The 22,810-nt window shown below is 46.1% G+C and overlaps 1 annotated feature.

The window, feature by feature from the left end:
* Positions 778–1,977: an enhancer, noted in NCBI's record as "MED14-independent group 3 enhancer chr7:152430472-152431671 (GRCh37/hg19 assembly coordinates)". NCBI's record gives its function as "activates an origin of replication core promoter dependent on BRD2, BRD4, P300/CBP and CDK7 cofactors, and independent of MED14, by STARR-seq in HCT116 cells {active_cell/tissue: HCT116}" and the evidence as "EXISTENCE:reporter gene assay evidence [ECO:0000049][PMID:35650434]".

The raw sequence follows: 22,810 nt of genomic DNA, 5'->3' as shown, positions 1-22,810 counted from the left end.
TCCTTTACATGGGTAAATGTGTTCTGAGTTCAAACAACGAATGTAAAAGGAACTTTTGGAACTCAGTGCACGTTCAAGTTGGGAGCTTAATAATAACAATAACAGTAGCTGCGAATACTTTTCAACACTTATTCGTCCCTGTGCCAAATGCTTTATGATGTGGCTGATTTCATTTAATCCCCACAACGGCTCTGTGAGATTCATACTATCATTACATTCATTTTATAGATAGAGGAACCAGGTTTCGATACCAAGTGGCAGATCCAGGATTCGATCCGGCAACAGCCGGACAGTGGCAGTCACTTGTATTCATCCTGGGAAGAAGCAAAGGGTGTCACTCCCCAAGGCGATTCTGGGTGCTGTCCTCATGGGAAGCACCCTGAGTGGTGACTAAGAGCAGCGACCTTGAGCCCAATAGACTCGGGCTCAGGTTCTAATTCTGCCACTTACTAGCTGAGTCACCTGGGGCAGGTTCCGCATTCTCCCTGAAACCTAATACTTTCGTCTGTAAAACAGGGGAAGTAACACTGACCTGATAGAAATGGTGTGAAGATTAAACAACGTGGACATAAAGCATGCCTGGCACTTAATAAGCACACAGTAAATGGCAGCCGCTCCTCTTTGTGCCACCTCTGCACCCCTCTCTGTGTACCACCTCTGCATCCCCCATCTGTGTACCACCTCTGCGTTGGATGCAGACACGTAAGCCCTGGAGGGAGTACTTGGAAAAATGAAATATCCAACAAGAAATTGGGAGGATTGCACCAAAACAGGAGAGTTGGATAATGCCTTCTATTTCTTCCCTCGATTCTCAGCATTTTATTTATTTATTTTATTATTATTATTTTTTTTTTTGAGATGGAGTTCCATTCTTGTTGCCCAGGCTGGAGTGCAATGGTGCAATCTCCGCTCACTGCAACCTCTACCTCCTGAGTTCAAGTGGTTCTCCTGCCTCAGCCTCCCAAGCAGCTGGAATTACAGGCACCTGCCATGCCCCACTAATTTTTGTACTTTTAGTAGAGATAGGGTTTTGCCATGTTGGCCAGGCTGGTCTCTGTGAAAAGTAAAAAGTTCCTCTGCAAAGTTTCCCCCTTTTTTTTTTTTGAGACGGAGCCTCACTCTGTCACCCAGGCTGGAGTGCAGTGGCATGGTCTCAGCTCACTGCAACCTCTGCCTCCCAGGTTCAAGCAATTCTCCTGCCTCAGCCTCCTGATTAGCTGGGATTACAGGCATGTGCCACCATGCCCGGCTAATTTTTATATTTTTAGTAGAGACAGGGTTTCATCATGTTGGCCAGGCTGGTCTAGAACTCCTGACCTCGTGATCTGCCTGCCTCAGCCTCCCAAAGTGCTGGGATTACAGGCATGAGTCACTGCACCCGTCTTCAAAGTTTCCCTTTTTGTTAAAGAATAAATAATAACTGTTAGAAATAATAGTTTCTTTTAAAAACTAATTTCCTTCCAGCTTCCTTGCTTTTCACTAATAACTCTTTGTTAAGCCCTATGTAGCTGTTAAATATAGCAAGGGAATAAGTACATTCTATGTCCTTGTACTTTAACCAAGTTATTTGTTCTGGCCTATAGCCTGCTGAGACATGTCTGAACATGACCAGGCATTTCCCAGCTTACAGCCTACACCCCTTCCTTATTTGGAAATGTTATTGTTCTCCTAGTTTCCCATAAACAACCCCTTTCCTTTCTTTGTTCTCCATCGAGCATTTACCTATTTAGGAAAGCTTTAAGTTTTTAGCCCATTGGGATCAGTCTAGATTGTGTAGTCCAGCTCCAGCCAATGGAGATAGGACACAGCAGTAAGGACCCAATGCAGCAGGGATAAAAACCTCTGCTTTTCTTTGTTCAAGGTGCTCTCATGGCAATCAGACTTCCAAGAAGCACCCTTTCTGCAGAAAGTAAAATTGCCTTGCTGAGAAAATTCTTTGTCTGAGTGCTAGTTCTTCTTTTCCGCACTGAGGAACGAGCATTTGTTTCTAACATCTCGAACTCCAGACCTCAGGTGATCCGCCCACCTCGGCCTCTCAAAGTGCAGGGATTAAAGGTGTGAGCCACAGCGCCTGGCAGATTCTCAGCATTTCATCATGGGATATTAAACAGGAGTTCCTCCCAAGAAATATACATGCAAACACATCATCAAAAGTATTTCCACACAGCCTATAGCAGCAGCCCACCTCCATAGTAATTCAGTGATATTTATAGTCCTCACTGGGATTACCTACAGTTGACAAGAGAAAAACAATGAAAGTGGCTGGGTGCGGTGGCTCACGCCTGTAATCCCAGCACTTTGGGAGACCAAGATGGGTGGATCACTTGAGGCCAGGAGTTCAAGACCAGCCTGGCCAATGTGGTGAAACCCTGCCTCTACTAAAAATACAAAAATTAGCTGAACATGGTGGTGTGCACCTGTAGTCCCAGCTACACAGGAAGCTGAGGCAGTGAACTGAGATTACACCACTGCACTCCAGCCTGGGCAATGAGAGCAAAACTCTGTCTCAAAAAAAAATAAAAAATTAGCTGAGCATGGTGGTGCGCACCTATAATCCCAGCTACTTGGGAGGCTGAGGCAGGAGAATTGCTTGAACCCAGGAAGCAGAGGTTGCAGCAAGCCAAGATCGTGACACTGCACTCCAGACTGAGTGACAGAGCGAGACTGTTTCAAAATAAATAAATAAATAAAACATATATAAATGATAAAATGTAAAAGATTGAAACAAATATTACTTTAAATTCTCATTCCATTTCCTGTATTAATGAAACAAAAAAGTTGTTTTGTGATTGATTATGCTTCACTGTTTCATAAGATCTTTATTTACCAAGATGGCACAGTTATTTGAAGGCTGGTATCAAATCCAGTTACTTCTGCACTTGTTTTCATTACTGAACCTTGCTGGCAAGGCTAGAAATGATACTTCACAAAAGTGGAGAAATTAATGGTTCATCCCTAAATATCAAGACTCCTGGAAGTACCTTCCAATGAAACACCCAATGAACTCATGTATAGATTTTCAAGGTCATTTCCCAACTCACCACAAACCTTTGTAAAGATCACACAACTTAAGATAATACAATACACATAAAAGGCCACGCAGACCACTGACCAGCGCGAGGTGCCAAAAGCAACCCATCCTTTGTCACTTTCCATCAGTGGCACATGGCCAAGAGAGTACCCGTGTCCATCTGTCAATTACAAATCATCAAAGCCTTGTTTCATTTCTGTATATTTAAAAAATAGACACAAGCATTATTCTTTTTTTTTGAGACAGAGTTTCAATCATTTTACAAATGAGGTAGCTGAGATCTAGGGAGGCTGTGTGATTGGCTGAAGCTCCCGTATTTTGAAATTGATACAGAGCCAGAACCTTCTGAATGATTTTGCAAGTCCCTGCCTATAAATAGCCCTGTCCAGCTACAGAAATAAAAATCTGTAGCCTTTAAGTGTGGTCCTGCCTAATCCCTGAGTCGCCCAGGCTGGAGTGCAGTGGTGCAATCTTGGCTCACTGCAACCTCCACCTCCTGGATCCAAGCAATTCTCCTGCCTCAGCCTCCCGAGTAGCTGGGACTATGGCACCCGCCACTACACCTGGCTAATTTTTTCTATTTTTAGTAGAGACAGGGTTTCACCATGTTGGCCAGGCTGGTCTTGAACTCCTGACCTCAAATGATCCACCGGCCTCAGCCTCCCGAAATCCTGGAATTACAGACGTGAGCCACTGCACCCGGTCACAAGCATTATTCTTTGTTTTTCCTGCAACCTCCGTGAATTGTCTTACATAAACCCCACTTTGGAGACCAGTGCTCCAGGGAGAGGAAGATGCCAGGCACTAGTCAGGTTGTAAAGACCCCATGTGACCCAAGCCTCAGGCAAGAACCAAGCAGGCTGAGGGCCAGGGTCCCCTGAGAAGGGGCTGCTCTGTGGGCTGCTGAACCTCAGCCCCAACCACAGTACCCGAGGCCCCGGGCATGAAGGTGACAAAACAAATTCCTCATAATAAATAAATAAATCCTTTTGCACCTATGGGACGAAGGGAATCTTGATTGTTCTTGTTCTCTTTCTCTCTTTTTTTTACTCAGGGATTAGGCAGGACCACACTTAAAGGCTACAGATTTTTATTTCTGTAGCTGGACAGGGCTATTTATAGGCAGGGACTTGCAAAATCATTCAGAAGGTTCTGGCTCTGTATCAATTTCAAAATATGGGAGCTTCAGCCAATCACGTAGCCTCCCTAGATCTCAGCTACCTCATTTGTACAATGAAGGGGTTGGACTAGATCCTACTTAAAAATCCTTTAAATTCTATGGGCTGGGCTGGGTGGCTCACATCTGTAATCCCAGCACTTTGGGAGGATGAGGCAGGAGGATCGCTTGAGCCCAGGAGTTCAAACAAGATGAGCCTGGGCAGCAAAGCAAGACCTCATCTCTACAAAAAAAAATTTGTTTTAATTTGCCAGCTCTGGTGGCACATGCCTGTAGTCCCAGCCACTCAGGAGGCTGAGGTGAGAGGATCACTTAGTGACAGGTGACAGCGTGCTGGCAGTCCTCACAGCTCTCGCTCGCTCTCGGCGCCTCCTCTGCCTGGGCTCCCACTTTGGCGGCACTTGAGGAGCCCTTCGGCCCACCGCTGCACTGTGGGAGCCCCTTTCTGGGCTGGCCAAGGCCGGAGCCGGCTCCCTCAGCTTGCAGGGAGGTGTGGAGGGAGAGGCGAGAGCGGCAACCGGGGCTGCATGCGGCGCTTGCGGGCCAGCTGGAGTTCCGGGTGGGCGTGGTCTTGGCGGGCCCCGCACTCGGAGCAACCGGCCAGCCCTGCTGGCCCCGGGCAATGAGGGGCTTAGCACCCGGGCCAGTGGCTGTGGAGGGTGTACTGGGTCCCCCAGCAGTGCCAGCCCACCGGTGCTGTGCTCGATTTCTCACCAGGCCTTAGCTGCCTTCCCGCGGGGCAGGGCTCGGGACCTGCAGCCCGCCATGCCTGAGCCTCCCACCCACTCCATGGGCTCCTGTGTGGCCCCAGCCTCCCCGACGAGCACCACCCCCTGCTCCATGGCACCCAGTCCCATCGACCACCCAAGGGCTGAGGAGTGCGAGCGCACGGCGCAGGACTGGCGGGCAGCTCCACCTGCAGCCCCGGTGCGGGATCCACTAGCTGAAGCCAGCTGGGCTCCTGAGTCTGGTGGGGACGTGGAGAGTCTTTATATCTAGCTCAGGGCTTGTAAACACACCAATCAGCACCCTGTGTTTAGCTCAAGGTTTGTGAGTGCACCAATCAACACTCTGTATCTAGCTGCTCTGGTGAGGACGTGGAGAAACTTTATGTCTAGCTCAGGGATTGTAAATACACCAATCGGCACTCTATCTAGCTCAAGGTTTGTAAACACACCAATCAGCACCCTGTGTTTAGCTCAGGGTTTGTGAGTGCACCAATCGACACTCTGTATCTAGCTGCTCTGGTGGGGCCTTGGAGAACCTTTGTGTCCACACTCTGTATCTAACTAATCTGATGGGGAGGTGGAGAACCTTTGTATCTAGCTCAGGGATTGTAAATGCACCAATCAGCGCCCTGACAAAACAAGCCACTCGGCTCTACCAATCAGCAGGATGTGGGTGGGGCCAGATAAGAGAATAAAAGCAGGCTGCCGGAGCCAGCATTAGCAACCTGCTCGGGTCCCCTTCCACTGTGTGGAAGCTTTGTTCTTTCGCTCTTTGCAATAAATTTTGCTATTGCTGGCTCTTTGGGTCCACGCTGCTTTTATGAGCTGTAACACTCACCGCGAAGATCTGCAGCTTCAGTCCTGAGCCCAGCAAGACCAGGAGCCCACCGGGAAGAAGGAACAACTCCAGACGCTGCCTTAAGAGCTGTAACACTCACCGCGAAGGTCTGCAGCTTCACTCCTGAGCCAGCGAGACCACAAACCCACCAGAAGGAAGAAACTCCGAACACATCTGAACATCAGAAGGGACAGACTCCAGACGCGCCACCTTAAGAGCTGTAACACTCACCGTGAGGGTCCGCGGCTTCATTCTTGAAGTCAGTGAGACCAAGAACCCACCAATTCCCGACACATTGGGATCGGGAGTTTGAGGCTACAGTGAGCTATGATCGTGCCACTGCACTCCAGCCTCGGCAACAGAATGAGACCCAGCCTTTAATAATAATTAACAAATCCTTTAATTCTATTAAGTGAAAAGGAGGTGAATACTAATCCACCTCTAGAAACTTAGTGTTTTTCGGCCGGGCGAGGTGGCTCACGCCTGTAATCCCAGCACTTTGGGAGGCCAAGGTGGGTGGATCACAAGGTCAGGAGATCAAGACCATCCTGGCTAACATGGTGAAACCCCATCTCTACTAAAAATAAATAAAGTAGCTGGGCGTGGCGGCAGGCGCCTGTAGTCCCAGCTACTCGGGAGGCTGAGGCAAGAGAATGGCGTGAACCCGGTAGGCGGAGGTTGCAGTGAGCCGAGATGGCGCCACTGCACTCCAGCCTGGGTGACAGAGCGAGACTCCGTCTTGGGGAAAAAAAAAAAAAAAAAGAAACTTAGTGTCCTTCATAAATTTTATTTGTGCTTTCTAATTCTTTATTTAAAAAAACAAGTTTGGACACAGTGGCTCATGCCTGTAACCCCAGCACTTTGGGAGGCCAAGGCAGGAGGATCACTTGAGCCCACGAGTTCAAGACTAGCCTGGGCAACATAGTGAGGCCGAAAAATAAACACAATACCATTTCTACCAAAAAATAGATAACAATAAAAATAACAAAGCCAAAAAAATTTAATATTTTTCCACAATGCTTTATCCATATTCTTTAGTAGTTTGCATTTCAGAATTCAGAATGGTTTGAACTTCGGGAAGGAAACACAGTACGTATAGAGACCCTTACATCGCATCAGCAAGGTCTGCAGTGACACCTTATAAGCAATCACGCTCATCCTTTTGCAGTGAAACACATGGGCTTTCACACTAAGTAGGATAAAGACTAAAATAGTCTCATATCACTTCAAGCCAAGTTTTGCAGTCAAAAAGTTTGCCACATGCTGAGCAAAAAACTTTGTTTTGAGGGCTGTTTTGGACTTCAGAATTTCTGCAAGGGATGTGTGTCCTTACACATACTAAACTCCAGATAATAAAATTTCATGGTATATGTCGACCTTATATCAATAAGTTCTAAATATTTCACAACCTACCAGTAATTATATTACTATTCAGAATATAAAGGCAAAAATTCACTGAAATTGAATAGCCTCATACCTATTCCAAGCCGTTCCAGTAATTAATCATCATTATGGAATAAAAGTGGGATTGGTCTGATAAAGTGTGTCCCTTACAAAACCAACATTTGAGGCCAGGTCTGGTGGCTCACTCCTGTAATCCCAGCACTCTGGGAGGCTGAGGCAGGCGGATCACTTGAGGTCAGGAATTTGAGACCAGCCTGGCCAACATGGTGAAACCCTGCCCCTACCAAAAAATACAAAAATTATCTGGGAGTGGTGGCACATGCCTGTAGTCCCAGCTACCGGAGAGGCTGAGGTGGGAGAATCACTTGAACCAGGAGGCGGAGGTTGCAGTGAGCCGAGATCACGCCGCTGCACTCCAGCCTGGGTGATAGAGCGAGACCCTGTCTCCAAACAAAAAAACAAAAAACAAACATAACAAAAAACAAAAAAAATTGATATGTTTAAAGTGACTTTTTGGACATTTTAGAAATGAAAATTAAGTGGACTGGACTATAATCTCTGGTTACATCCCTTCTCCTCTTTTTCTAAATATAGGCAGTGCATTTGCCTGTTGGCATTAACTCTTCCCCTTTGCCACCTCAATAACTAGGCTTCTCCAACATTTGACATTCTAGAAGCTTCCAGCGTGGAGTTAAAGCAGAACTGCCACCAGCAATGCACCACGTTGACAGGAAGTATGGGCATCTTACTCTGATGGAGAAAAAACAACCTGGAGAAAATGTGGACAAAGATCTTCAAGTAGTATCTTTTCTTTTTGGAGACGGAGTTTTACTCGTGTTGCCCAGGCTGGAGTTCAATGACATGATCTCGGCTCACTGAAACCTCCACCTCCCAGGCTCAAGCGATTCTCCTGCCTCAGCCTCCCAAATAGCTGGAATTACAGGCACCTGCCACCATGACCGGCTTTTTTTTTTTTTTTTTTTTTTTGAGACAGAATTTCATACTTGTTGCCCAGGCTAGAGTGCAATGGCATGATCTTGGCTCACCGCAACCTCTGCCTCCCAGGTTCAAGCCATTTTCCTGCCTCAGCCTCCCAAGTAGCTGGGATTACGGGCATGTGCCACCACGCCCAGCTAATTTTGTATTTTTAATAGAGACGGGGTTTCTCCACGTTGGTCAGGATGGTCTCGAACTCCCAACCTCAGGTGATCCAACCCCCTCGGCCTCCCAAAGTGCTGGGATTACAGGCGTGAGCCACCATACCCAGCCTAATTTTTGTGTTTTTAGTAGAGATGGGGTTTCAACATGTTGGCCAGGCTGGTCTCAAACTTTTGACCTCAGGCGATCTGCCGACCTCGGCCTCCCAAAGTGCTGGATTGCAGGCGTGAGACAGCATGCCCAGCCTTCAAGAAGTATCTTACTTATCTGCTTCTCCTGAAATAGACCTCCCAAAGTTTCTGGTTTCATCACTGCCTGTAAATAGTGAACAAGAAATTGTAGGTCTTTGCTCAAATGATTTCTTCTACCAGGAATGCATTTGCTTGCACGTACATAACCTTTCAGCTCACATTCAGCTATCAGTTGCAATGAGGGAGAAATCATTTATTTTAACTGACCATTTATTATAATGATTTATACTCCAAAATATTAAAAAGCAGTAAAATAAACCAGATTAATTTTTAACTTCTTTCATTGCATTTTTCTCAGCTCACCTTCAAGTGAAAGTCCTAATGATTTTTAAAATATCACTCCACTAGAAGAAAAATAAGCTGAGTAACCCTGAAAATCCAGATGCAGAACTATCAAGGGACCGTGTACTCGCTCTACTTTATGATGTCATAACATCGTATGTACAATGATATGTACCCCAAGGCATTTAATGCTTTCAAAAGAATTTTTTTTTTTTTTGCTTTGAGACAGAGTGTCACTATGTTGCCCAGATTGGTCTTAAACTCCTGACCTCAAGTGATTCTTCCACCTCAACCTCCCAAATATTAATAGCTGGGATTACAAGTGTGAGCCACCATGCTTAGCTAAAAAAAAAAAAAAAAATTTTTTTTTTTTGAGACAGAGTCTCACTCTGTAGCCCAGGCTGGAGTGCAGTGGCGTGATCTCAGCTCACTGCAACCTCCACCTCTCGGGTTCAAGCAATTCTCATGCCTCAGCCTCCCAAGTAGCTGGAATTACAGGCATCCACCACCACACCCAGCTAATTTTTGTATTTTTAGTACAAACGGGGTTTCACCCTGTTGGCCAGGCTTGTCTCAAACTCCTGGCCTCAAGTGATCTGTCTGTCTTGGCCTCCCAAAGTGCTGGGATTGCAGGTATGAGCCAATGCACCTGGCCTAAAAAATTTTTTGTAAATTAATAGCTGCACAGCCTGGGCAACATGGAGAGACTCTGTCTCTACAAAAAAAAAAAAAAATTAAAAACAAATTAGCTGGGTGTGCTGGCACACACGTGTACTCCTAGCTACTCAGGAGGCTGAGGCAGGAGGATCACGTTAGCCTGGAAGGTAGAGGCTGCAGGGAGCCATGAACGCACTGCTGTACTCCAGCCTCAGAGATGGAGCAAGAGACACCCTGCATCAAAAAAAAAAAAAATTAATAGCTAATAGCTGTGCTTGACTGTGTTATTCAAAATATGAAACTTAAATGCTCAAATAAAATCAAAATATATGTCTTTTGCTTCACTCAACCTAGCCATCAAAACACTCCATTGGAGAAGAAAATTAAAAAGAATTGACAAGCTTTATTCTCATAATTGTGCTTTTAAGTTGATTGCTGTCAACTATTGAAAGCACTCTAATGTTGGTCAGTGTCTTCAGTGGATAAACGGAAAATTAGACTTGCTTAGTTAATATAAATTTTAACATAGATGTAAATAAAGCACAACTAAAATAGTACAATATTTCCTAATCACAAGCTAAACCATCAATCCACAATCACTTTTTAAGAAAAAAAATGCCTTTAATACAGAGTTTTTAGAAACTTTAACAAGGCTGGGCGCGTTGGCTCCTGCCTGTAATCCCAGCACTTTGGGAGGTTGAGGTGGGTGGATCACTTGAGTTCAGAAGTTCAAGACAAGCCTGACCAACATGGTGAAACCCCATCTCTACTAAAAATACAAAAATTAGCTGAGTGTGGTGGCACGTGCCTATAATCTCAGCTACTCAGGAGGCTGAGGCAGGAGAATCGCTTGAACCTGGGAGGCAGAGGTTGCAGTGAGCCAAGATCACGCCACTGCACTTGGCCACAGAGGCAGACTCTGTCTCAAAAAAATAAATAAATATGGCCAGGAGTGGTGGCTCATGCCTGTAATACTAGCACTTTGGGAGGCCGAGGTAGGTGGATCACCTGAGGTCAGGAGTTCAAGACTACCCCGGCCAACATGGTGAAACCCCATCTCTACTAAAAATACAAAATTAACCGGTATGGTGGCCACATGCCTGTAATCCCAGCTACTTGGGAGGCTGAGGCAGGAAAATTGCTTGAACCTGGGGAGCGGAGGTTGCAGTGAGCTGAGATCATACCATTGCACTCCAGCCTGGACAACTCCGTCTCCAGAAAATTAAACTCCAGGCAAGGCGCGGTGGCTCACGCCTGTAATCCCAGCACTTTGGGAGGCCAAGGTGGGCAGACCACAAGGTCAGGAGATCAAGACCATCCTGGCTAACACAGTGAAACCCTGTCTCTACTAAAAATATAAAAAAATAAGCCAGGTGTGGTGGCAGGCGCCTGTAGTCCCAGCTACTTGGGAGGCTGAGGCAGGAGAATGGTGTGAACCCAGGAGGCGTAGGTTGCAGTGAGCCAAGATCGCGCCTGGGCGACAGAGCAAGACTCTGTCTCAAAAAAAAAAAAAAAAAAAGTTAAACTCCATCTCAAAAAAAGCTAAACTCTGTCTCAAAAAAAAATTAAAAAATTAAATATAAATACATAAATAATAAAATTAAAATTAACACTTGTCAAATATTTTATTCAACTCATTAGTGAGGAAAATAGTAAGATGTGAAGACTGGTTCAAAGGACAAATGAGGAGCTAGGTATTTATAATCATATTAATAAATAAATATTAGGATAAAATTGATGGATCCAAAACTGGTTAATATCCTAGAGGGCACCAGACCATAACCTTTGGGGTTTTCTTTTCTGCTGCATGAAAATTATTTGCATCTCTTTTTGTTTTGTTCTGTTTTTTGGGTTTTGTTTTGTTTTTTGAGACCCAGTTTCACTCTGTCACCCAGACAGGTGTGATCTCAGCACACTGTAATCTCTGCCTCCTGGGCTCAAGCGATCCTCCCACCTCAGCCTCCTGTGTAGGTGGGACTACAGATGCGTGCCATCACACTCAGCTAATTTTTGTATTTTTTGTAGAGACAGAGGTCTTGCCATGTTGCCCAGCTGATCTCAAGCTCCTGAGCTCAGGTGATCCACCCACCTTGGCCTCCCAAAGTGCTGGGATTGCAAGCATGAGCTACCATGCCTGGCCTTTCTGGTTCTGGATTTTGTGGGGGGTTATTTTTAGAGACAAGGTCTTGCTCTGTCTCCCAGGCTGGAGTGCAGTGGCACAATCATGGCTCACTGTAATCTTGAACTCCTGGGCTCAAGCGATCCTCCCACACTTGGCCTCCCAAAGTGCTGGGATTACAGGCACCAGTCACAGCCCCCAGCCTGCATTTCTACCAGACAAGAATCTCTAAGTTACAGGCAACTTCTCTGAGCCTGAGAACTTTAATCAATAGTACCTAGTGGCTGAGCAAAGTATATTCCCTAAATTGTCCCTCTTGGATGGACCTTTGTCCTTATATGTCATTGACGAGCTGTGTGGTTTACCTGTTTACCTTGCTTTCAATTTTGGATAATTTTTCTTACCATCCCCTTACTCTTCTCCAGAGTCTACATTCAATTCTTGTTAGTCTTCCATCTTTTTTTTTTTTTTCCTTATGAGATGGAATTTTGCTCTTGTCGCCCAGACTGGAGTGTAATGGTGCTATCTTGGCTCACTGCAACCTTTGCCTCCCGGGTTCAAGCGATTCTTCTGCCTCAACCTCCCAAGTAGCTGGGACTACAGGCATGTGCCACCATGCCTGGCTAATTTTTTTTTTTTTTTTGGATTTTTAGTAGAGACGGGGTTTCTCCATGTTTGTCAGGCTGGTCTCAAACTCCCCACCTCAGGTGATCCACCCGTCTTGGCCTCCCAAAGTGCTGGGATTACAGGTGTGAACCATCGTGCCCGACCTTGCCCGACCGAATACGTATATCCTCTCTATGTATCCACTCCATGCTGTAGCCTTGGTTCATACCCTCATTCTCCTACCTTAGCTTTTGCAAATGTTCCTCCTGAATAATCTCCCAAATTCCATTCTGTCTTCCGGGGGAAACTGAAATCTGATCATGTTCATCACGTGAGGATCACTCCAAAGCTCACACCTGTGATCCTAGGTGCTTTGAGAGGCCGAGATGCGGGGATCACTTGAAGCCAGAAGTTCAAGACCAGCCTGGGCAACAAAGCCAGACCCCATCTCTACAAACAAATGAAAATAAAAGTAGTGATCCGGCCGGGCGCGGTGGCTCACGCCTGTAATCCCAGCACTTTGGGAGGCCGAGGCGGGCGGATCACGAGGTCAGGAGATCGAGACCATCCCGGCTAAAACGGTGAAACCCCGTCTCTACTAAAAATACAAAAAATTAGCCGGGCGTAGTGGCGGGCGCCTGTAGTCCCAGCTACTTGGGAGGCTGAGGCAGGAGAATGGCGTGAACCCGGGAGGCGGAGCTTGCAGTAAGCCGAGATCCCGCCACTGCACTCCAGCCTGGGCGACAGAGCGAGACTCCGTCTCAAAAAAAAAAAAAAAAAAAAAAAAAGTAGTGATCCAGTTCTCCGTGACCTGCCTACATCTCCAGCCTCACCTCTTCAGCAGCCTGAGTGCGCCTTGCAATCTACCACCGCAAAACGTTGCTTTACATCTTTGCTCCTCCCTTTTGAAATCCTCTCCTTGCTAACATTACCCCCTCCCTTGGCCTATCCCAGATTCTCCGCCTCTATAGTCTGAATGTTTGTGGCTCCCCAAAATGTATGTGTTGAAACCTAATCTCCAGTGTGATGGTATTTGGAGGAGGGGCCTTTGGGAGGTGATTAGGGCATGAGAGTGGAGTCTCATGAATGGGATTAGTGCCCTTAGAAAGAGGCCTCAGAGGCCGGGCGCGGTGGCTCACGCCTGTAATCCCAGCACTTTGGGAGGCCGGGGTGGGCAGATCACCTGAGGTCAGGAGTTTGAGACCAACCTGGCCAACATGGGGAAGCCCTGTCTCTACTAAAAATGCAAAAATTAGCCAGCTGTGGTGGCGGGCACTTGTAGTCCCAGCAACTCAGGAAGCTGAAGCAGGAGAATCACTTGAACCCAGGAGGCGGGGGTTGCAGTGGGCCAAGATCGCACCACTGCACTCCAGCCTGGGCGACAGAGTGAGAATCCAGACTCCGTCTCAAAAAAAAAAAAAAAAAAAAAAAGAGGCCTCAGGCCAGGTGCGGTGGCTCACGCCTGTAATCTCAGCACTGAGAGGCCAAGGCGGGCCAATCACTTGGGCCCAGCAGTTCAAGACCAGCCTAGCCAACATGGCGAAACCCTGTCTCTACCAAAAATACAAAAATTAGCTGGGCGTGGTGGCGTGCTACTCAGGAGGCTGAGGTGGGAGAATTGCTTGAACCCAGGAGGCAGAGGCTGCAGTGAGCCGAGATCGCACCACTGCACTCCAGCCTGGGCAACAAAGCGAGACTCCATCTCAAAAAAAAAGAGTAGAGAAGTCCACAGCCCTGGCAACTGCTCGAGCACTGAGGCTCAGGTGAAGCCAACACGGAAGAAGTGAGTCCTAGGATATAATTCAAACACAGGTGGCGGCTTTCAAGCCCTGTGAACCAATTCACCAGGATTCTGTAGAAAGAAGCTTGGTGAAGGTTCCATGGGAGTATTTTATAAAATTGTGTAATACATTCATATTTTCATGTTTCTTCGCTCTGAAGAGGATTTCTGAATCCAGAGCCTTTTCTCTCCTAATCTATAGCCTGCATCTCAAGTCATGAATGTGTTCCAAATGTGTCCTCAAGAATCACATCACAAAGCAAACATTAAAACTGCTGCCATGGTTGGCCAGAAAATATATTAAATAGGCAGGATAAAAAGACAAGAGTTTCACAGCTGCATAGAATGTTGTTGGTAGTGGCAGGCTGTCACTTCTACTGCAAGACCTAGATAAAAAGGATAAATTATAAAATACATTTTTTTTTTTTGAGATGGAGTTTCACTCTTGTTGCCCAGGCTGGAGTGCAATGGCGCAATGTCGGCTCACCGCAACCTCCGCCTCCTGGGTTCAAGCGATTCTCCTGCCTCAGCCTCCAGAGTAGCTGGGATTACAGGCATGTGCCACCACGCCCGGCTAATTTTGTATTTTTCGTAGAGATGGGGTTTCTCCATGTTGGTCAAGCTGGTCTCAAACTCCCGACCTCAGGTGATCCACCCACCTCGGCCTCCCAAAGTTCTGGGATTACAGGCGTGAGCCACCACGTCCAGCCACAGAATACATTTTTAAAGGTCTTGGAGAGCTATGGAAATGAGGACTTAAATGGACTAAAATTCCAAGGAGGTGGGCTTGGGGGAGCTGGTGGCAGTGGTGCCAGCGGAGTTGGTGTTTTGTTTTGTTTTGTTTGAGACAGGGTCTTGTTCTGTCGCCCAGGCTGGAGTGCAGTGCTGCTATCACGGCTCGCTGCAGCCTCAACTTCCCAGGCTCAAGTGATCCTTCCACCTCAGGCTCCTGAGTAGCTGGGACCACCGGCACACAGCACCATGCACAGCTAATTTTGGTGTATTTTTTGTAGAGATGGGGGTCTCACTATGTTGCCCAGGCTGTTCTCCAACTCCTGGGCTCAAGCGATCCACCCACCTCGACCTCCCAAAATGCTGGGATTACAGGCGTGAGACATCGTGCCCAGCCCTGGGCAGAGTTTTTGTATGTTCCAAATCCCCACGTAAAAACCAACAGAGCAACTTATACAGTGAAACCAAAAATTCTTGAGAAAATTTACAATAATAACAAAAAAAAGAACAGAGTAGAAGTCACCTGTAATCCCAGAACTTTGGGAGGCCGAGGTGGGCAGATCACTTGAGGTCGGGAGTTTGAGACCAGCCTGGCCAATATGGAGAAACCCCGTCTCTACTAAAAATACAAAATTAGCCATGTGTGGTGGCGCATCCCTGTAATCCCAGTACTCAGGAGGCTGAGGCAGGAGAATCGCTTGAACCCGGGAGGTGGAGGTTGCGGTGAGCCGAGATCGTGCCATTGCACCCCAGCCTGGGCAACAAGAGCCAAACTCCGTCTCGACAAAAAAAAAAAAAAAAAAAAAATAGACAAAGGCTGGTACAGTAGTTCCAGCTCTTTAGGAGTCTGAGGTGAGAGGATCACTTGAGCCCAGGAGTTCAAGACCAGCCTGAGCAACATAGTGAGACCCTGTCTCTACAAAAAGTAGATTTAAAACATTAGTTGAACATGGCTGGATGCAGTGGCTCATGCCTGTAATCCCAGCACTTTGGGAGGCTGAAGTGGGCCAATCACCTAAGGTCAGGAGTTCGAGACTAGCCTGGCCAACATGGTAAAACCCCATCTCTACCAAAAATACAAAAATTAGCCAAACGTGGTGGCAGGCACCTGTAATCCCAGCTACTTGGGAGGCTGAGGCAGGAGAATAGCTTGAACCCAGGAGACAGAGGTTGCAGTGAACTGAGATCGCTCCATTGCACTCCAGCCTGGGTGACAAGAGTGAGACTCCATCTCAAACAAAAACAAAAACAAAAACAAAAACAAAAAAAACCCTGGCTGAACACAATAGTACATGCCTGTAGTCCCAGCTACTTGGGAGGCTGAGGTGGGAGGATCACTTGAGCCCAGGTGTTTGAGACCATCTTGGGCAACACAGGGAGACTCTGTCTCTATTAAAAATAAAAAAACTTAAAAGGAAAAAAAAAGCCGGGCGCTGTGGCTCACGCCTGTAATCCTAGGACTTCGGAAGGCCAAGGCAGGTGGATCGCCTGAGGTCAGGAGTTTGAGACCAGCCTGGCCAACATGGTGAAACCCCGTCTCTACTAAAAATACAAAAATTAGCCAGGTGTGGTGACGGGTGCCTATAATCTCAGCTGCTCAGGAGGCTGAGGCAGGAGAATCGCTTCAACCCGGGGGATGGAGGTTCCAGTGAGCCAAGATCGCGCCACTTCACTCCAGCCTGAGCAGAAAGAGCGAAACCCCAAAAAATAAATAAATACATAAATACACAAGTAAGTAAAAGAAAAAAAAAGAAAACCAAAGTAGATAGTAAATAATATAAATCAGGAAAGTTTTCCTGAGATTAAATTTTAAAAGGTTTAAAACTGCATATTAAGAGAAAAACCCCTGCACCTGAAAATATTGACCAAAATAAGTCACACCAAAGTATATTTTAGTAAAACTACAGAACTTTAAAAACCCTCCATTGAACATATAGGTAAAACACATATGATGGAAAAAAGAAAGAAAACTAGATTCTAATCAAACTACTGGCAGTGATACTTCATACCAGAAGAAAACGAACTAGATTCTTGTGAGCCAAGGATTTTCTGTCAGTAAAACCAATCCTCAAGCACAAATGGCACAAACCTCCACCGGGAATATGGTTCTCATTAGCCCTTCCTAAGGAAGCTACTAGAGATGGAGCGCCCAACACCAGAATGTCTAGATATAGACACTGGAGTGAACAGTGAACATGTACAACTAAATATAGTTAGTTGTAGAATGAAGACCAAGTGTGGCTGGGCACAGTGGCTCATGCCTGTAATCCCAGCACTTTGGAAGGTCGAGGTGGGCGGATCACTTGAGGCCAGGAGTTTGAGACCAGCCTGGCCAACATGGCAAAACCTCATTTCTACTAAAAATATAAAAAATTAGCCGGGTGTGGTGGCGCGTGCACCTGTAGTTCCAGCTACTCGGGAGGCTGAAGCAGGAGAGTAGCTTGAACCCAGGATGTGGAGGTTGCAGTGAGCCAAGATCGTGCCACTGCACTCCAGTCTGGGCAAAAAAGCAAGACTCCATTGAAAAAAAAAAATTATTTGGGAGGCTAAGGCAGGAGAATGGCCTGAACTCAGGAGGTGGAGGTTGTGGTGAACCAAGATCTCGCCCGCCATTGCACTCCAGCCTGGGCAACAAGAGTGAAACTCTGTCTCTCTCTCTCTCTCTCTCTATATATATATATATATATTTATTTATTTATTTATCTATTTATTATTTTTATATTGACAGTATTGTGTTTAGTTGTGGGATATTTTAATTCCTTGAGTAAGTTTGGGCTATTCTAATTCCATCATTCCCTTGAGAACCAAAATCCTTGCTGTGGAAGAAATAAGATACAAATGCAATATAAAAGAGGTTAAGGAAAACCACTGTAGTCCAAAATTTGTATTTTAAATATTAATATGAGCTCATGAGGTATTTTTATCTTTAAATATATAATTTTTAGTTCTAGCCAATAGAAAAGTCAAGAGACAATGAACAACCCAGTAGGAGAAAGCATGTCTCCTTCTTAGATCATAGTCTTGCAAACTATTTCCCATTGAAATAAATCAGAGCAAGGCCAGGCGCGGTGGCTGACATCTCTCATCCCAGCATTTTGGGAGGCCAAGGTGAGAGGATTGCTTGAAGCCAGAAGTTTGAGACCACCCTGGCCAACATAGTGAGACCCTGTCTCATTTTATAAATAAATAAATACATAAATAAATCAGAGCATCTTCAGGAAATGGCTAGTTCCCAATCTGAGGCAGGAAATGTACAAGATAAGCTTGGAACATCTTGACATATCAGAAAGCAAGGACACTATGAAAGACCACTAAAGTTATGGCAAAAGGACCTAAAGAAGCCCACGGTGGCCAGAGACTGGACCATTTGAGTTTCAGGAAAAATAGGAATTAGAATGAATTAAAATCCAGCACGTAGGCCGGGCATGGTGGCTTACACCTGTAATCCCAGTGCTTTGGAAAGCCGAGGCAGGAGGAGTGGAGTTTGAGATTACAGCGAACTATAATCCTGCCACTGCACTCTAGCCTGGGAAACAGCGAGCCCCTGTCTCTGAAAACCATAAACAATCAACAACTATGCTTAAATAGATAAATTCACAATAATATATGTTTTTATTTTTATTTTATTTGATTTGATTTTGGAGACAGAGTCTCACTCTGCCACCCAGGCTGGAGTGCAGTGGCGCAATCTCTGCTCACTGCAACCTCTGCCTCGCAGGTTCAAGAGAGTCTCCTGCGTCAGCCTCCTGAGTAGCTGGGATTACAGGCGTGAGCCACCACACCCAGCTAATTTTTGTATTTTTAGTAGAGACGGGGTTTCACCATGTTGGCCAGGCTGGTCTTGAACTCCCTACCTCAAGTGATCTGCCCACCTCGGCCTCCCAAAGTGCTGGGATTACAGGCGTGAGCCAGTGTGTCCAGCCACAATAATATATGTTTTTAATTGGTTACCTTCTGAGGATAATAAGAAACTAATTCATTATTTGAAAACTTAGCAAATAAAAGGAAATAATCAAACATGTATCCTGCCTTTCCTGTAAGAACTTTACCAATGAGGTACTTAGGTGAAGGGTAGCTTCTTTTTTCCTTTCTTTTGAGACAGTCTTACTCTGTCGCCCAGGCTGGAGTGCAGTGGGGCTATCTCAGCTCACTGCAACCTCCACCTCCCGGGTTCAAGGGATTCTCCTGCTTCAGCCTCCTGAGTAACTGGGATTACAGGCTTGCACCACCATATCTGGCTAATTATTGTACTTTTAGTAGAGACAGGGTTTCACCATATTGGCCGGGCTGGTCTCCAACTCCTGACCTCAAGTGATCTCCTGGCCTCGGCCTCCCACAATGCTGGGATTACAGGCGTGAACCACTGCGCCTGGCCCAGGGGTAGCTTCTTATGAAATTATTTCAGGCTGGGTGCGGTGGCTCACGCCTGTAATTCCAGCACTTTGGGAGGCCAAGGTGGGCAGATTGCCTGAGGTCGGAAGTTTGAGACCAGTCTGACCAACATGGAGAAATTCCATCTCTACTACAAATACAAAATTAGCTGGGCGTGGTGGTGCATGACTGTAATCCCAGCTACCCAGGAGGCTGAGAAAAGAGAATCACTTCAACTTGGGAGGCAGATGCTACGGTAAGCCGAGATCACACCATTGCACTCCAGCCTGGGCGACAAGAGCGAAACTCTGTCTCAAAAAAAGAAAAAAAAAAAAAGGTTATTTCAGGCTGGGCGCAGTGGCTCACAACTGTAATCCCAGCACTTTGTGGGAGGTTGAGGCAGGCAGATCACAAGGTCAAAAGTTCGAGACCAGCCTGGCCAACATAGGGAAACCTCGTCTCTACTAAAAATACAAAAATTAGCCAAGCGGTGTGGTGACACGCGCCTGTAATCCCAGCTACTTGGGAGGCTGAGGCAGGAGAATCGCTTGAACCCGGGAGGCGGAGGTTTCAGTGAGCCAAGATTGCGCCACTGCACTCCATCCTGGGCGACAGAGCCAGACTCTATCTCAAAAAAAAAAAGAAGAAATTATTTCAGTTTATAGATTAAAGAATTAGAATGTCACCATTTTGCAACCTCTAATGAACTGATAGATCTAGACACTGGGTCTCAGTAGCTGCTAACATGAAAGAAGAGAGAAAAACAGATATTATGTGTTGTCTGATGAAAGAACAAAATACCACCTCTAGCTCTGCCAAAGGAATCCCACCTCAATCAGATTGAGCGTCTGGGTCCAGGAACAAGTGTTCCTGAGGCTGAAATCTCAGATGTTGCTGGTGTAAGTGTAAATCAATACAGCCACTTTGGAAAACTGTTTGACAGTAATGGCTAAATTTTAACATATGTCTACTCTGTGACCCAGCAGTTCCAATCCTAAGTATATATCCAAGATGAGGGAAACACACATACTTCAAAAGACATGTATGAAAATGTTCATAGCAAAAGAATGAATAAGGCCTAGTATTAGCACAACAGGATAACTGTAGTCAATAATAATTTAATTGTACATTTTAAAATAACTAAAAGAGTAAAATTGGATTGTTTCTAACACAAAGGATCAATGCTTGAGGGGATGGATACCACATTTTTCATGATGTGGTTACTATGCATTGCACGCCTATACCAAAATATCTCATGGGCCAGGCACTGTGGCTCATGCCTGTAATCCCAGCACTTTGGGAAGCCGAGGTGGGCAGATCACTTGAGGTCAGGAGTTTGAGACCAGCCTGGCCAAAATGGTGAAACCCCATCTCTACTAAAAATACAAAAATTAGCAGGGCGTGGTGGCAGGCACCTGTAGCCCCAGCTACTCGCGAGGCTGAGGCACGAGAATTGCTTGAACCCAGGAGGCAGAGGTTGCAGTGAGCCGAGATCGCATCACTGAACTCCAGCCTGGGTGACAGAGTGAGATTCTGGCTCAAACAAACAAACAAAAAACACTATCTCATGTACCCCATAAATATAATATATACATCTACTATATACTTACAAAACTTAAAATTCAAAGTTCAAAAACATTCAAAAAAAAAAACCCCAAACATCTTCATAGTGGCTTTTTTATAAAAACCCAAAACTGGAAATAACTCAAATATCTATTCACAGTAAAATGGATAGATAAATAATGGCATAGTCATTCAATAGAACACTGCATAACCATTAAAAATGACTGCTGCATATACAACAAGATGAATCTCACAGCTATGATGTTGAGCAAAAGACACAGACACAAAAAGTAGGAATTGTCTGGTTCCATTTATCTGAAGGCTAAGAATAGGCAAAACTAATATATGGTTATAGAATTCTGAATTGCTCTTAGCTCTGGATGGGGAGAGTGGATATTGACTGGGAAGAAAATAAAAGAACATTCTCAGGTTGGAATGCAGTGGCATGATCTCAGCTCACTGTAACCTCCGCCTCCCGGGTTCCAGCGATTCTTCTGTCTCAGCCTCCTGAGTAGCTGGGATTACAGGCGTGCACCACCATGCCTGGCTAATTTTTGTACTTTTTTTTAGTAGAGACAGGGTTTCACCATGTTGGCCAGGCTGGTCTTGAACTCCTGACCTCAGGTGATCCACCTGCCTCGGCCTCCCAAAGTGCTGGAATTACAGGTGTGAGCCACTGCACCCAGCTGGAAATATTCTATATCTTGTTTGGGATGGGGATTACATCACTGTACACATATATAAAAATTCATTGAAACGAAACTACTAAATGCATGTTCTATTCCCTAAAAAAAATAATAAAAAAGAATAAAGTTACACATAAACTCCCATAATTTCCAGTCCTTAGTTACCATGCTAATATATCCTTACTCATTTCCTTATCATTTCATATTTACCCTACAAATTTGTCTACCAATTGGGTTAAAGCTCTGTTACAATTTGACCTTTCATTCCAACTGAAACTCTTGATCAAGAGTCTGCAGTTCCCTCCCCAACCCTGTTAGGTATAAAGATTCCATAGCTAACAAACCAAAAAACAAAATAAAAACAACACAAATCTTTCTAGGTGAAATATCTAGGCAGTGGGAGTCAACAGAAATCGTCATATCTGGACCGGGTGCGCTGGCTCACACCTGTAATCCCAGCACTTTGAAAGGCTGAGGCGGGCAGATCATTTGATGTCAAGAGTTCGAGAACAGCCTGGCCAACACAGTGAAATCCTGTCTCTACTAAAAACAAAAATTAGCCAGGCATGGTGGCACAGGCCTGTAGTCCCAGCTACTCGGCAGGCTGAGGCAGAAGAATTGCTTGAACTTGAGAGGCAGAGGTTGCAGTGAGCCAAGATCACACCACTGCACTCCAGCCTGGGTGACAGAGCAAGACTTCATCTCAAAAAAAAAAAAAACAAAAAAAAAAAAACAGGTCATATCTGGCTGCGGTGGCTCATGCCTGTAATCCTAGCATTTTGGGATTTTGGGAAGCCAAGGTAGGAGGATCGCTTGAGCCCAGGAGAATGAGGCTGCAATGAGCTGTGATCATGCCACTGCTCTCCCACCTGGGTGACAGAATGAGATTCAGTCTCAAAAAAAAATAAAGAAAAGGAAGGAAGGAAGGAAGGAAGGGAGGGAGGAAGAGAAGAGAGGAAGGGAGGGGAGGGGAGGGGAGGGGAAGGGAGGGGAGGGGAGAGGAGGGGAAGGGAGGGGAGAGGAGGGGAAGGGAGGGGAGAGGAGGGGAAGGGAGGGGGAGGGGAGGGGAGAGGAGGGGAAGGGAGGGGAGAGGAGGGGAAGGGAGGGGAGAGGAGGGGAAGGGAGGGGAAGGGGAGGGGAGAGGAGGGGAAGGGAGGGGAGAGGAGGGGAAGGGAGGGGGAGGGGAGGGGGGAGGAGAGGAAGGGAGGGGGAGGGGAGGGGGGAGGAGGGGAAGGGAGGGGAGAGGAGGGGAAGGGAGGGGAAGGGAGGGGAAGGGGAAAGGAGGGGAGGGGAGGGGAGGGAAGGGAAGGGAAGGAAGGGAAGGGAAGGGAAAGGAAGGGAAGGGTCAGGTCATATCTTGGCACATCTTGGTCATTAATAGAAAACAGAGGCTCTATCAAGTCCCTTCATCCTTGAGTGCCCATTTC

Source organism: Homo sapiens, chromosome 7, assembly GCF_000001405.40.
Source record: "Homo sapiens chromosome 7, GRCh38.p14 Primary Assembly".
NCBI lineage: Eukaryota > Metazoa > Chordata > Mammalia > Primates > Hominidae > Homo > Homo sapiens.
Note: the sequence above shows the minus strand (reverse complement) of the source record. Positions and strands in the feature narration are given on the sequence as shown.